The sequence below is a fragment of the Homo sapiens genome, chromosome 3 (genome assembly GCF_000001405.40).
Source record: "Homo sapiens chromosome 3, GRCh38.p14 Primary Assembly".
NCBI lineage: Eukaryota > Metazoa > Chordata > Mammalia > Primates > Hominidae > Homo > Homo sapiens.
Window position 1 is genome coordinate 147766615 of NC_000003.12, and position 16834 is coordinate 147783448.

The following is a 16834-nucleotide window of genomic DNA, read 5'->3' on the forward strand; positions in this document are numbered from 1 at the left end:
TATAGTTTTCCTGGTGGTATGTAGCATGAACATTAAGAGAACAATTGTCTCCAGGTAATGATTATTGCTTCCCCAAACATGACTCTATGTACTTAACACCTTTTCTTTAGACTAAAATTCTTTCTTAAAAAGAATAATTATGTGGAAATTAATTATTTAATAATTATTTGGAAACATGAATTATCATTTAAAATCATATAGATGATTGCTTCTACTGTATCTTTCCCTAATTAATTGCACTGTCATCTCCAGCAGAATAACTAGCACCTTGAAAGAAGGAGAATCAGTAGAGTACAACCTAAATGCAGGTACAGACTGTATCTCCCTTCTATGTTACCTCCACTGTTTGCCATCCTCACCTCCATCATTCAAATCTCTTTTCTGGAGTTCTCCACTCCTTGAATTGATATTAATATCAGGTTAAGCACTGTAATATTTTTCCTAGCCACTTTTAGATAGTGAGATTTACAGGTAATTTGGCAAAAACAAGTTTTCATAAGTGTTATGAAAATGTCATGCTAAGTATAATGTTTAAAAATACCCTGAACTTCACATAAAGTCAAAGCTTCTCCCCCTTTCCAGCTTGGCAGCTGCTTTAGGCACAGGACAGAGGAGAAGGCTTTGTTTGCCTTCATCTTTGTTCCTTATTTTTGACTCTTCTATCCTGCACTCCTCTTGCTAGATGAGGTTTCTAACCTTTTCAGAAATGGAGTGAAGAAAAGAAGTTAGAAAAACTAAAGATCTTATAGGATGACATAAATTTGATTCAATGGCTGCTCTTCTTAGGAAGGATATCCGAGATTCCTAATTCTGATTCTGCCTGAGAGTAATTTTATGGATTTATTGGAGACAAACTTGTTGATATCCTCCAATACAGTGATCTCACATGGTGAGGTTTTCTATTTAGCTAGCTGCTTACAACTTCAATTCTCACGGCATGGGCAGCCCAGGCCACATAGACTCTTACTGATGAGGCTTCATTATCACTCCAGGAATCTCTCTTGCAAAAGTCCTTTTCAGATGGATTGAATTCGGCTTCCTTCCACATGGTCCACATTCATCCATGGACACCTTATGTCTTTACGTCTTTGCTTCTGCCAAATAAAGGTTATTCCCAATGTCATTTTCTCTCTCTATCCTCCTGTTATTCAGGCACCTCTGGTCATAGTTTTTAGCCTTTTAATTTTTATAGTACAGGTCAAAAGCCACCTGATTCTGAAAGACACATATAAAGCTTTCTCCAAGTGGACCTGTCACATTGCCTCTATCCCCACTCTTTCCCCATGGCAAGGGAAAACTCAATAATTTTATTTAAAGAAAGTATTTCTCCATAAACAGCCATTTTTCTTTGCTCCTCTAACCTTTACATATCCTCAAGGAAAGTATTAAGGGAAAAACTAGGAAACTAGTTAACTACTGACATAGTTTGGGTATTTGTTCCCTGCACAAATCTCATGTTGAATTGTAATCCCCAATGCAGGGCCTGGTGGGAGGTGTTTGGATCATGGAGGTGGATACCTCATGGCTTGGTGCTGTCTTCGTGATAGTGAGTTCTCATGATATCTGGTCATCTAAAAGTATGTGGCATCCCCAGCCCCACTCTCTCTTGATTGCTGCTGCTTTTGCCATTAAACATTTATAAATGCAAATGCCCCTTTGCCTTCTGCCATCACTGCAAGCTTCCTGAGGCCTCCCATAGAAACCAAGGAGATGACTGCTCCATGCTTCCTATAAAGCCTGCAGAACTGTGAGCCAATTAAGCCTCCTTTCTTTATCACTTACTCAGTCTCAGGTATTTCTTTATAGCAATGCAAGAATGCCCTAATACAACCACCTTTTTTTTTCAAGTATTTCATAAGTAGTCTTGTTTCTTATTTTGGGGTTCCTTGGCATTTTTAATACTCGTTCTCTATATTTGGGACTTGGCTAAGACAAAGAAGTAAAACCTTACTTTAACATCCTCTTATGACAGTTGATTATTAACTTACCCAACCTTCTTTTAAGTTATTAACTAAAGAAGGTTAACTTACTAACCTTATTTTCCTATTGGAGACATCTATCACAAAACCGAAGCTCTTGCCTCTCTGAGTTTGAAAGCTTCTAAGGGAAATAATAAGGCCAATTAGGTAAAGAAATATTACCATACATAGTGTATTTATATGTATTCATATTTCTAAATAAAGACTCTCTTCAGTTAAGACAATGTTACCCCATTATTTCTTCTCCTCCTAATTTTACATAAATTCAGAGACAAAGACCATGCTATTATCCAGCCCTGTGTTTCTGTGCCTGGCCTTTGCCCGGTCAGAGGGCCTGCCTTGTATATGGCCCAAGTGTGGGTATACAATATTCAACATCTCTTCCACATATTCTTAATTTCTGACTAAGCCATTTTCTTTGAGGCAAAGCAATGCCTCATCTCTCTTTTTGGTCAGTTCTTATCAATTTAACTCACTTTGCATGTTATTTTGAGTTGTTTGGTTATCCTTTCTACTTCTACAAGGGAATACTACTTAAAAAATAATTAATTACTATAAATTAATACTTTAATAATCCATTCAACAATTCTTTAGTTTTATTTCTGAGAAATGTTGGGGACTTCAAGGTGAATAAGGAGAAATAAGACATGCACAAAAATGTAATGTAATATATAATCTGCTGAGTGTGATTAAGACATTTAAGAAAAATGCCATGAATATTGAGAAGAAAGATTTATTTTTGGCTAAGAGGTGTGAGACACCAGGAAAGACTTCTGAGAAGGAGTTCTACCTCATGTGGACCTTGAATATATGGTAGGCGATTTCCATAACAGAGATATTATGCCAGACTGAGAAAATAGCATGGACACAGTGAAAAAATATTTGGCCACTTTTGGTCAAAACTTTTTATTGTATATTATATATCTAACAGAAAAAAAACTGAAAAGGAAGACTTCAGCCAGACTTAGGAGGGTCATTAATGCCAGGATTAGAGAGATTGGACATTATTCAATAAAGAAAGAATGTGAGGATGGTACTGAAATTTCTGAGGAAGAAAATTAACTGATTGGAACAGTTACTTGGAAACATTAAATTGGTGGCAGAAAAAGTGAAACAATTATAAATGCAATGATCAAAAACAGAAAATAAAAAGTAAACATGAATTTAAGACAATGATCTAATCAAGAAGCAATGAATTCCTGAGTGAATGAGTATAGTGGGAAAAAACAGAGAGGAGTAAATATGGGAGCTATTTCTATGGTAGAATGGAAGACTTGAATTGGACATGGAGATTAGAAATGAAGAGTAATCACTATGGCTTCAAAGTGTGTACCCTCAAGGTACAATTAAGCAAAATAGGGAAAAAGAAGTTCCAGTATGAAAAATACCTGATGATGTAAAAGCAAGTGTTATTTGATGTTCAGAGAAGAGAGCAATCGGGGTTGGAGTAGTTAAGAAAAGGCTTCATTTGAAGCTTTGAAAGTTGAATAAGAATTCTCAATAAAAATGCAAGATAGGAAAGAAAGGTAATGTGCAAATAAAAGACCCTAACTCTTTTCAATTTGGGTCTAGATTTTCTAATAAAAAATGTTATTATAGATTATTCTGTCCTTCAGATAGTACCCAAGATGATCAAGAATACTAATAACTGAGGTTTAGATTTACTTAGGATGTTACGTAAGATAGCTCAGTTTTACTAGAGACTTTTTTGAATTTGATTTTTTTCTTTGTTTCCACTTATTTTTAAATTAACAAACAGTAAAACTGTTTTTTTATGTACAGTTCTAGGAGTATTGACCAGTGCGTAAAGTCCCTAGCACCACAAAAATCAAGTTATGGAACATTTCTATCACTCCAAGAAATTCTCTCTTGCAGTCCCTTTGTAGTTAGCCCCTCCTCCTACATCTAATTATTGGTAACCACAGATCCATTCTCCTTCCCTATATTTTTGCCTTTTTCAGAAAGTTATTTTGGTAGACACAATTTTAAGATGTCATGCATCGCTTGTTATAATAACTCTTGTCATTATGCTACATTATATACGTGGGCCTGATATAATCACACAAGCTCCTTAAGAACATAGGGTGTTGGACAGCTGGTAACAGGAAAGGAAGTCAGAGATCTGAAGCAGATTCTATGTACCATTGCTGGCTTGTAGATAAGGAGGGACATGTGGAAAAGACCTGAAAGTGGCCTCTGGGAGCTGAGCGGCAACAAGGCAATGAGCACCTGCGTCCTACAATCATTAAGAACTGCATTCTGCCAAGAAACTGGGTAAGCATGGAAGTTGCCTCTTCCACTAGAAACTTGAGTTATAAGCCCAGCCCAGTGACATATTGACTTTGACCTCGTAAGAATCTATGCAGAGAACCCAACACAGCCTACCCCAGACTTTTGACATATAGAAATGTGAGCTAATATATTAATGCTGTTTTAAGCTGTTGAGTTTGTGGTAATTTGTTCTGCAGCAATAGAAAATATATACAGTAATATAAATGGAATCATAGAGTATGCAGCCTTTTGAGACTGGCTACTTTCATTCAACATAACACATTTGAGATTCACCTGAATTATGTGAATGACTGAGTATTATTCCTGTGGATGAATGTACCACAATTTGTTTATCCATTCACCACTTGAAAGACATTTGAGTTGTTGCAAGCTTTTGGAGATTAGAAAAGAAGGCTGCTCTCATCATTAGTGTACCAATTTTGTGTGAAAATAAGTTTTCTCTTGTATACCTACCTAGGAGTGGTATTTCTGCATTATATAAATATATGTTAAAACATGTAAGAAACACCAGACTTTTCTCTGAAGTAGCTGTATCATTTTGCATTTACATCAGCAAACTATGAGAATCCCAGTAGGTATTGTCAGTCTTATTTATTTTAGCCATTCTAATAGGTATATAGTAGTATAGCATTGTTAAATTTGATTTTAAACATATTTATCACAAACTTTAACGATTCTGCACAAGTTATAATTTTTATAAAATTGTGCTCTAAACATTAACATGTTTTAGCTGTTTCACTGAAAATATGCCTTTGACCAAGAGTATCACATTTATATGACTGTATTTATTTTTTACTGTTTTATAACAAATTTTCGCAAGCTCAGCAGCTTAAAACAACATTCATTTATTAGCTCAAATTCTATATGTCAAAAGCCCATGGCAGGCTCAGTTGGGTTCTCTGCTTAGGTTCTTAAAAGGTAAAAGTCAGGGAATCACTGTATTCTCCACTGAGATACTAAGAAAGCATATCTGGGCCAAGGTTTATTCATATATTCAGCATTTACTGATATCTGCTATCAGCTATGTACTAGAAATGATGCTAGGTACTAGGGATAAAAGATGATAAATATATGGCCCTGTCCTCAACAAGTTCATGCTCTCTGAAGAGTCAGATCACATAATGTGTATTTGTAATGTAGTCTGGTAGTTGTCACGAGGGAGGTATGTGAACAGTGCTATTAGGTCACAGTTGAGGAAGCAAAGGATTCTGCTTGAGGGAGCCAGTTAGTGAAGTGATGAGATATGACTATAGATATACAATGATTGAGACTGAAGACTTAAATTAGCACTGAGGATTTATGTAAAGTTGACTAGGGATGTCCAACTGGACTCACTTTGTATAATCTAATGACTAAGATATTTTCTCTCAGCTTCTTTAAAATTTTTGGAATCCTCCCCAAATAACTGTGTTGGCTATATTGTTAAGGATAAAATATGACGTGATTTTGTAGATTGCCAATGGGAAAGATTCTAATTCTTACAGATGTGGTTTTTTTTTTGGTAGAAACACAAAACTGGGCATAACAAAGATGTCTTGGAATTTTATTTTTTTGAGAAACACCAATAAATACTGTTAAACAGGGTTTCTTGGCAGAGTTTTGTTAGTTTGATGTTTTCTTTCTCTAGAAGTTAGTCAATGATTTATGCAGTACATATATTTGTGAGTATGTGTGTGTGTATGTTACAACTAATGAGCATGTAAGTGGCTACCTCTGGTAGAGCTACGATCTTGGAATCTCATATTCAAGAACTATTTACCCATATTCTATTGTGAATAATGCACTGTGTTTTATATGTAGTAAAAGAGATATTTGCAGTTCTGTTTTTCAAGTACATCCAGTATTTCCCATATCCAGGGCCAGAGTATACATGGCAAGACTGTATGTGTGAAGAGCAAATGAGAGTAAATAAAATTGTGCCAAACAAGAGATTGTGCATAATTGAATAAATGTACAGTTAATCATCCAATAATTGCAAAAGCATTAAAAAAATTCTCACACACTATGCCTGAGTTCTAAAGAAAACATTTGGACATTTTGAGTTTTATTTGATTTTAAATTTCAGAAGAGTTTTCATTGAGGTAACATTTACTTTTGAGGTGTGTAATCTGGACTCAGCAGGTTGTAATGCTATAGCCTTTGATGTTCACCAAGTTTGTTTATGAACTGTGCTAGAGATGGCAATCCAATATCTTCAACAACAAAAATTCAGAGACAAACACAGGACATCTTTTTCTGTTTTGTTCATAACAATGTCTTTACTGCCAGAATGTAACCAAGGATCTGTTAGAAATGTAAACAAGATTGCTTTTGTGCACCAAAGAGAATGTGAACCAATTTCAAAAGCTAGCACATTTTAGGTGATGTGAAATGTGTTACAATGCGTGCAGTATCCTAAAGCATTTATAAAGCTGCCTAAAGCAGAACATAAGCACTGAGTCCACAGAATTTTGAGTGATTTGTACATACCAACATGTTTTCAAAATATTAAGTATGTTTTCTTTTGTCTCTTTTTGGCTTTTGGCAGCCCACCAGCTTAAACTAGGTTTACAAGAGCCAGTGAAACACCATATTGCAATTTTTGAGTGCTCTGATGTTGATGGCTTGCAATAAACCACATAGGATATTCCCATCGGGGGAAAAGAAGTTATAAACTGTCATGAATATTACAATTTACATGATTTGGAGCTTGGGGATCTCTTGTTTAGATTTTTAACTCCAGCTAATCACAGATTTTCTGTTTTGAAAACAATGATTTGAATATAAACCAACCCAAAGAGAACAATAAGACAATTTCAACAAGCTAATTAATTTCTATAAAAAAGAGAAAGAAATTTCACATGTTCTGAATTTGCTTCTGAGAATGACTCAGAACATACGCTTCACTTGCAGAATCAGTCAAAACCAGTTTTACTGATAAACAGAGTAGAACTCAACTGTCTGGGTCTAAAGATGACACCTAGCCAGGTAGCACTGTGAAAATACATTAACACTCATCCAAAAGAGGTAATTAGAAAGTGTCAGATGAAAACACTTTAAAAAATTAAAAAGAAAACTCTACTACAGAAAAGAAAAGGATTTTCATTTTTATAAAACTACTAATTTAGAATTTTAAGTGATAGACTTATCATTTCCATTGTGTTCAAAGCAGGCAGAATGATGGCAGATCTCAAGTTCTTTTTATTTGTTCCCCAAAAAACATAGCTATTCTTAAATTTTCTACAAATGCTACCATCTTATCAGAATTACTTTCAAGAGAAATATAGGTCTCAAGAATAAATAAATCAGATGAATAACCCACTTGGGCATCTTGTAAAAATAAATGTAACCTATCTATCAATGAACGTTTTATGAATTTTATTAAGAAACCACTTTTTGACTTTTAAATAATTTAGTTACTGATCTAATTTCAAAAATCATTGTACATATGTTTTGTTCAGTTTATAAATGGGCTACATTATATGTTTAAATAAAATGTAAACCATCACTGTTCAGTAGGAAACTCTTTACTACTTATTCGTTTAACAAATATTTATCAAGGACCAGAAACCACAACTTTAGCTCATGTTGATGCTACTATTCCAGTTGGAGCCACCATAGTCTCTCACCTGAGTCATGGTGATAACTCTTAATCTCTTTGTTTCTGTTTTTTTTTTTTCTTATAGCCCATTCTGAAAAAGAAACTGGAATGATTCTGTTAAAATATAAGTCATTTTATGGCTCTTCTCTATCCAAAATCTCCCAGTCACTTCTCATTTTATTAAGAGTAAAATCCAAAGCCTAAATCATTCTACTGGCCTCAAAGACTGCAAATGATCCTCTGTTGCCATCTTCTCCTTCTGACTGCATCTCCCACCTTTTTTCCACTTGCTTATGCCATCACAGACCCTTAGCAAATTGGGTTATCCCTAGAGTGTGGTGGGGAATGTTAATTGCTATAGCCGTTTTAGAGGGTGATCTGGCAATATCTAATAAAATACACAATGCATATTCCACATGCCATGTTTGTATATACATGCTGTCTCTGAAAGCATATCCAAAAAATTGGCAACAGTGATCAGTCACCTCTGGTAAGGGGAACCATGTATTGGAAAACAGGGATGGGAGGGCACTTTCCTGCCTCAGCATATGTGCATTTGCTGTTCCCTCTGTCTGGAAGGTCTTTATCAGCTCCCGGCAAGACACGCCCTCTCATGTTCTTCCGATTTTGACTCAAATGTCACCTTTTCATCAAGGACTTCCTTGGCCATCGTAAAATTCTACAGATATACCACCCCTCCACAAATATACTGATCCTATCTGCCTTTTCTTGCTTGATTTTTTTTCCCCTTCCAGCACTTATCACTAAACAATAGACTATGTGTTTACTTATTAATCTTACTTATTGTCTATATCTCCTACCAGAATATAAATTTCATAGAGGTAAAGAGTTTTGTTGTTTTTATTTCTTTATTCTTAGCCTCTAGGACAGTGCTTGGCATAAAATATGAAACTGTAAGACAAGTACTGCTGTAAGTGCTGAGATCCAGAAGTGAACAAGATAGACAAGTTCTGCTCTTTTGTCACTAACTTTCTAGTAGGGAAAAGAGATAATAAACAAGTAAACAGGCAAATAAGATCACACCAGATTAGGGATAAATGCTATGAAGAATAATATACCAAGGAAACACGATAGAGAGTGGCCAGTGGCTGTAAGTAGGGGTATTTTGGCTTGAGTCCTCAGAGAAGGCATTCCTGGGAAGTAACAGCTGAGCTGGAGCCTGAAGGACAAGAAATAAGGCAAAGAAAGATGTGTCAAAGGCTAAGTGGAATAACACATAGAAGAGCAGAATTTTATATTTAATCACAGATTACATTAATTTTTTTTTTTTTTTGAGATCTTGCTCTGTTGCCCAGACTGGAGTGCAATGGCACGATCTTGGCTCACTGCAACCTCTGCCTCCCAGGTTCAAGCGATTCTCCTGCCTCACCCTCCTGAGTAGCTGGGATTACAGGCATCTGCCACCACACCCAGCTAATTTTTGTATTTTTAGTAGAGACAGATTTCATCATGTTGGCCAGGCTGGTCTCCAACTCCTGACCTCAAGTGATCTGCCCATCTCAGCTTCCCAAAGTTCAGGAATTACAAGCATGAGCTACTGCACCGGGCCAATCACATTCATTATTAATCAGCAAGAGTTTATTTTTCATCTGTGGTTACATGGTAGACACTTCCTAAAGAAATTAAGATATGATGCTTACTATAAATGTTCTAATTATATACCTGGGGACACAACTTCACTGATATGAAGCAACAAATAATACAAGATAGAATTTCAATTAGGAGACAAAAGATATGATTGAGGCAACCCTCATTTGTTACAGCTAATGATCTGGGCTAGAGAATGTGTAAGAGTAAAGTCTAGAAAATGTCTGGGCAAAAGGATAGAAATGGGAATGAGTAATGTGTGTGGAAAGAATGATGAGGAAATGTGCTTTACTGCAATCAAGATACTGCGGTGGAGAGAGGAACTCAGGATCATTGAAAGCAAGAAAAGTTAGGACTCGTTTGCTAAAAACCACAGGAGCCATGCTGGGTTCTTCCATTTTGCTTATACCTACATTCAACTCATCTGCAAGACAGATAGGCTCTGCCCCCAAAATATATCCCAAAGAGTCCTCCTCCTTTCCATCTACTACTTTATCTAACCCACTGTCTTCACTTGCTTGGAGTAGAGTTCTAACCATTCTCCCTATTTCTACTCTGTGCCCCAACATCACATTCTTCTCACAACCCTTGGGTAGTCCTTTATAAATATAAATCAGATATTGTCACACCCACCTCTGCTTCAAAACATTCAGTAACTCCCTATTGAACTTACAATAAAATTCAAACTCCTTTCCATGACCTACACATCTTTCTAACCTATCCTTGCCCTTCTCTCCATCTCATTCCTTTATGAAGATTCCTCTGTCTCATTATGCTTTAACCACACCTACTTTATGATCCTCATTTTCTAGTAACTATGAGGAATTAATAGGCTTTAGAAACTTAGTTCTTTGTATGCCCTCTGAGTTAAATATTTTTCACTCATCTTTACATAGCTTTCTCCTTTTCATTATTCAGGACTCACCTTAAATGTCAAGTCCATATGGAGGCCCTCCCTGACCATCTGATATGGTCTGGCTGTGTCCCCACCAAAATCCCATTTTGAATTGTAGCTCCCATAATTCCCACATGTTGTGGGAGGGACACCGTGGGAGATAATTGAATCATGGGGGGCGGTTTCCCCCCATACTCTTCTCATGGTAGTGAATAAGTCTCATGAGATCTGATGATTTTATAAGGGGTTTCCCCTTTCACTTGGCTCTCATTCTCTCTTGTCTGCCACGTGTAAGATGTGCCTTTCACCTTCCACCATGATCGTGAGGCCTCCCCACCCACATGGAACTGTGAGTCCATTAAAGCTCTTTTTCTTTATAAATTACCCAGTCTGGGGTATGTCTTTATCAGCAGCGGGAAAATGGACTAATACACCATCTTATCCAAAACACCACTGCCTATCATTCTGTATAACTTACCCAGTTTCATTGTCTTCCTAGGTTTTAACCATTATGTGAAAATACTTCGTTTATGTCTCAACCTATTTATCATTTGTCTCTCTCTACCAGAATGTAAGCTCTGTGAGAGCAGAGATACTGTTTGTCTTCTTACCATGAACCCAGAGCCTAAAAATCATTTTTATAGGCATATCTGAAACACGGTTGGTAGATAATAAATTTTGTCCAATGAATGAATGAAAACAGAAAATCATTTAAAGTGATTTTTATGAAACAGGAAAAGCATATGTTAGAGTAGGTTGGCAAGGAGATCCTGAAGTATCTGCACTGAGAGAGGAATTGAGAGGTTTCACAAAAGAAATAAGTGGGGCCCACTCACTGACAAGAGATAGAGAATTGCAATAAAAGGAGAAAACATCCAAGAAGATTCATTCTGTAATCATCAGTGAATGAGCCAAAAATAATGTTTAGAAAAATTCTGGCGGATACATTAGTTATTGTGGGATGTTAGTAAGCAGCAAAGGTTGGGATGTTAGTAAGTAGCAAAGGTTGCTCTTTTATTGCAGATAATTCTGTGCACAAGTTTGTTTCTTTTTTATCCTGTATATTTTTTGCAATATTATGGTTATTCATATTATTGTACATTTATTTGCAGTTGTGGGCCCATAATGAGGTGTGAACTGCTCCCTTTGAGTAAATTAGGTACTTCTGGGAAGTTCCTATCATATCAGTGGAGCCATCAGGGTACTATTGAGTAAGCAACTATTCCCCCGACCCCCAACCTGTTTCTCCACAGAAGCCTTCCTCATGAACCTCTAGCCTCAGAGAAAAATCTTAATAAATCTTCCAACTGTATTTCTCTTTCCCAGCTTCTTTCTATCAGAATAGCTTTTAGCCCCTGTTTTATCTTGAATGATTTGTCTGGAGAATTGACTTATTGCATGCCTCAGGAACATTTTATGTTCTTAAGAATCAAGGACCCCAAAGAAATTTTGTTTATGGTGTTTAGCCGTCAATACTTGCCATATTAGAAATGTAAACTGTATGCTTGCAAGAGAATGAGAGTGAAAAACTAAATATTGCTATTAAATAATATTCTTATGAAATATTGTAATACTTTTTAATACTACTTATCATTAAAGGATAAATACTATCTTTTAAGAAGAGATTGTAGGCTGAAGGAAGAGTTGTTTGCTGAAGCAAACGAAAAATTGGATCTTCCCTCTTTTTCTCTTTGTGCCTAACATTTTTATCTTTATTGATCTATACTTTTCATCTTCCCTTTACTTCCTTAAATCATCACTATATGGAGATGAATATAACAGAAATGTATTATTTTAAAATGCGTTGTTATAATATGTTATCAGGTTATATTTTCTTTTTTTTTAATTAAAGAAATCTCTGAGACAAGTTGGATCTAATTCTGTTTTTAAAATGCATTGTTATAGTATGTTATCAGGTTATATTTTCTTTTTTTTTTAATTAAAGAAATCTCTGAGACAAGTTGGATCTAATTCTGTAAGCCAATGTCTGTGTTAAACAAATTTTGGGTTGAGGTGTTTAAATGATATTTTCTTCTTTGAGTCAGTAATTTTTAGTAATAACAAAAAACAAACAAAAGTTGAGTGTTCACTTGCCTCCTTTTAAAACACTTAAGGTCTTTATTTGATATAAATGTTATTTTGGAAATGCAACACATTAAGCTAAATGATTTGGCATGACTCTCTTTAATCAATTAATTATATTGTTAGGTCCTGGGGACACAGAATACATAAATTTTGGTTAACAAAAAGAAAAGGAAAAAAAATGCAAAGACAAAGGAGAAAAGCGTATAATGAGGATCCTGGGAAGACAAGGTGAGTACTTTTGCTGGTGAGTAATTTGAAAGTTATTTAATCTCTCTATACCATGATTTCCTCATCTGTAATATGGGAATCATAATGGCATCCTATTTTTTTGTTTGTTTGTTTGTTTTGTTTTGAGACAAAGTCTCACTCCTGTTTCCTCCAGCTGGAGTGCAAAGGCGCGATCTTGGCTCATTGCAACCTCCGCCTCCCGGATTCAAGTGATTCTCCTGCCTCAGCCTCCCGAGTAGCTAGGATTACAGGTGCCTGCCACCACGCCCAGCTACTTTTTATATTTTTAGTAGAGATGGGGTTTCACCATGTTGGCCAGGCTGGTCTCGAACTCCTGACCTCAGGTGATCTGCCAGCCTCGGCCTCCCAAAGTGCTAGGATTACAGGTGTGAGCCACCGCGCCCAGCCATGGTATCCTATTTTTAAGAGGTGCTGTGAAAATTAAATTACTTGAGTTTTGTAAAGTGCTTACAACTTTGCTTAGAGTTTTAATATATTCAACTTACCCATTTTAATATGTGCAGTTATTATAATTATAATTGTTATTGTTACTAAGAAGATAGCCCTTGACAAAGAATAAAAGAGTGAAAAGGGTTAGAAGAAAAAAACATTCTATGCCTTATTCACAGTATTCTCTATAGTTGGGTCTGATTAAACATTTAGACTGTTGAAATTTCTGTATTGCTATTAAAATGAAAGAACTACTTTCCAGATGTTTCCTTCTTTCTGTAAAGTAACATATCTATACATACACAGATATCTATTTATTCTAAAGTAAAGAAGCTTCTAGTTGAACCCAAGCCCTCCTATAACCACTCTGTTGTTCTCCGTGTAACTTTTGATGCCAATGGCCCTGCCTAGAGGTGGCTCTTACTGCCTTCCTGTCCTCACCACCTACTCTCTTCTCAACAACCTAGCTTAATTGCTATAACAACAATATCAGTGCTTTTATCACCATCAAACCCTTCTCAAAATGGGACTACATTTGGAAATATTGGCAAAATAGGGATAAACTCTGGAATCCACAAAGACTTATGTTAAACTCTTTTCCAGTTACTTAATCCAAATTTGCCTCACTTCCTTAACTCTAAAGTAGGAATAATCAGGGATGAAGAGTCTGCAACACAGTTCCTGCCACATAATCTCAGACAGTGAATGGTTTATTGTATAATTCATTTTATGTGCATTTTGAAATAATTTTTAAAAAACTGAAAAATTTCACTCTCATATTTGAGTATCAAATTTGAAAGTGGTCAAGAATTGTATTGTTTTAAACGAGCAGGTGGAGTTAACTGAAAATTGTGTTTGTAGTACTGCCATTTGGCAGCAACATTTTCTGGCAAACAGAAATACAAAATAGACAACATCATCATTCATGCTCTACATATATCAGAATTTTCTGAGTAATTTGGTAATAATTGTAGTATCCATTTTTATATTACCAATATTAACAAATTTTAAATTTTATAACAATATTGCTCAAGTTCTTCTTAAGTTGTGGTGTGAACACTATTGTCGAAAATATAAAAAAATTTGGAAAGATATTTAGATGTGATTAAAAATAATTTGAAGAGGATTTAAAATTCCCACAACATCCTGTGCTATTATTTTAGATGAGGGAATTTTAGAAATGGTGTTAAGAAAAATAGGCATGGCGCGGTGGCTCATATCTGTAATTCCAGCACTTTGGGAGGCCAAAGCAGGCAGATCACGAGGTCAGGAGTTTGAGAGCAGCCTGGTCAACATTGGTGAAACCCCATCTCTACTAAAAACACAAAAAATTAGACGGGCATGGTGGCGCGCGTCTGTAATCCCAGCTACTTGTGAGGCTGAGGCAGGATAATTGCTTGAACCCAGGAGGCAGAGGTTGCAGTGAACTGAGATCATGCCATTGCACTCCAACCTGGGCGACAGAGCAAGACTCTATCTTGAAGAAAAAAAGAAAAAGAAAAAGAAAAAGAAAAAGCACCTTTTTATTCACACACTTCATTATAGAAGTAGGCAACACATTCTGAAAAAAAAAAAAAGAGGAAAACAGAATGTGTGAAATGACATGGCTGCAAAATTAAAAACCAAGGTCAAATGCCCCTAAGCCACGTTGGCTAGGGATTAATGCATATCAGAAACACAACATTCTGGAACAAGACAAGGATGCCCACTCTCACCACCCTTATTCAATGTAGTACTGTAAGTCTTAGCCAGAGCAGTTCATCAAAAGAAAGAAATAAAGGGCATCCAAATGTAAAGGAAGTCAAATCGTCCTGTTTGCAGATGACCTAAACTTATATATAGAAACACCTAAAGACTCTAAAAAAAAAAAAAAAAAACCTCTTAGAACTGATGAATGTAAAGTTGCAGGGTACAGAATTAATACACAAAAATCAGCAGCATTTTTTTTCTGAGATTTTAGTGTACCCATCACCCAAGCAGTGTACTCTGTACCCAATGTGTAGTCTTTTATCCCTCATTCCTCTTCCAACATTCCCCCGAGCCCCCAAAGCCCATCATATCATTTTTATACTTTGTATCCACATAGCTTAGCTCCCACTTATAAATGAGAACATAAGATATTTGGTTTTCCACTCCTGAGTTACTGAGTTAATTCACTTAGAATAATGGTCTCCAGCTTCATCCAGGTTACTGTGAATGCCCTTATTTCGTTCCTTCTTATGGTTGAGTAATATGCCATGATACGTATATACCACATTTTCCTTATCCACTTGTTGGTCGATGGGCATTTATTCTGGCTTCATATTTTTGCAGTTGCGTACTGTGTTGCTATAAACATGCATGTGCAAATGTCTTTTTCAGATAATGACTTCTTTTCCTCTGGGTAGATACCCAGTGGTAGGATTGCTGGGTAAATTGGAGTTCTTTAAGGAATCTCCATACTGTTTTCTACAGTGGTTGTACTAGTTTGCATTTCCACTAGCAGTGTAAAAGTGTTCCCTTTTCACGAAATCCATGCCAACATCTATTATTTTTGATTTTTAAATTATGGTCGTTTTTGCAAGAGTAACGTTTTGTGGTTTTGATTTGCGTCTCCCTGATAATTTGTGATATCGAGCATTTTTTCCATGTTGGTTGGCCATTTGTATATCTTCTTTTGAGAATTGTCTATTCATGTCTTTTGCCCAATTTCTGATGGGATTATTTGATTGTTGTTGCTGATTTGTTTGAGTTCATTGTAGATTCTGGATATTAGTCCGTTGTCAGATGCATAGTTTGCAAATATTTTCTCCCATTCTGTGGGTTGTCTATTTACTCTGCTGATTCTTTCTTTGCTGTGCAAAAGCTTTCAGTTTAATTAGGTCTCTTCTATTGGTTTTTGTTTTGGTTGCATTTGCTTTTGGGTTCTTGGTCATGAACTCTTTTACTGAGCCAATGTCTAGAAGAGTTTTTCAAAGCTATCTTCAAGAATTTTTATGGTTTCACGTCTCAGATTCAAATCTATGGTCCATCTTGAGTTGATTTTTGTGTAAGGTGAGAGATGAGGATCCAGTTTCATTCTTCTACATGTGGCTTGACTATTATCCCAGCACCATTTGTTGAACAGGGTGTCCTTTTCCCACTTTATGTTTTTGTTTGCTTTCCCAAAGATCAGTTGACTGTAAGTATTTGGTTTGATTTCTGGGTTCTCTGTTCTGTTCCATTGGTCTATCTCCCTATTTTTATACCAGTACCATGCTGTTTTGGTAACTGTAGCCTTTTAGGATAGTATGAAGATAGGTAATGTGATGCCTCCAGATTTGTTCTTTTTTCTTAGTACAGCTTTGGCTATGTGTACTCTTTTTTGGTTCCATAAGAATTTAGGGTTTTTTTTGTTTTTTGTTTTGTTTTTGTTTTTGTTTTCGTTTTTGTTTTTGTTTTCTAGTTCTGATGGTACTTTGATGGGAATTGCACTGAATCTGTAGATTGCTTTTGTCAGTATGGTCATTTTCACAATATTGATTCTACCCATTCATGAGAATGGGATGTGTTTCCATTTTTTCGTGTTATGGATGATTTCTTTCAGCAGTGTTTTGTAGTTCTCCTTGTAGAGATCTTTCACTTCCTTGGTTAGGTATATTCCCAAGTATTTTATTTTCTTGCAGCTGTTGTAAAAAGGATTGAGTTCTTGATTTGTTTCTCAGCTTTGTTGTTGTTAGTGTATAGGAGTGCTGCTGA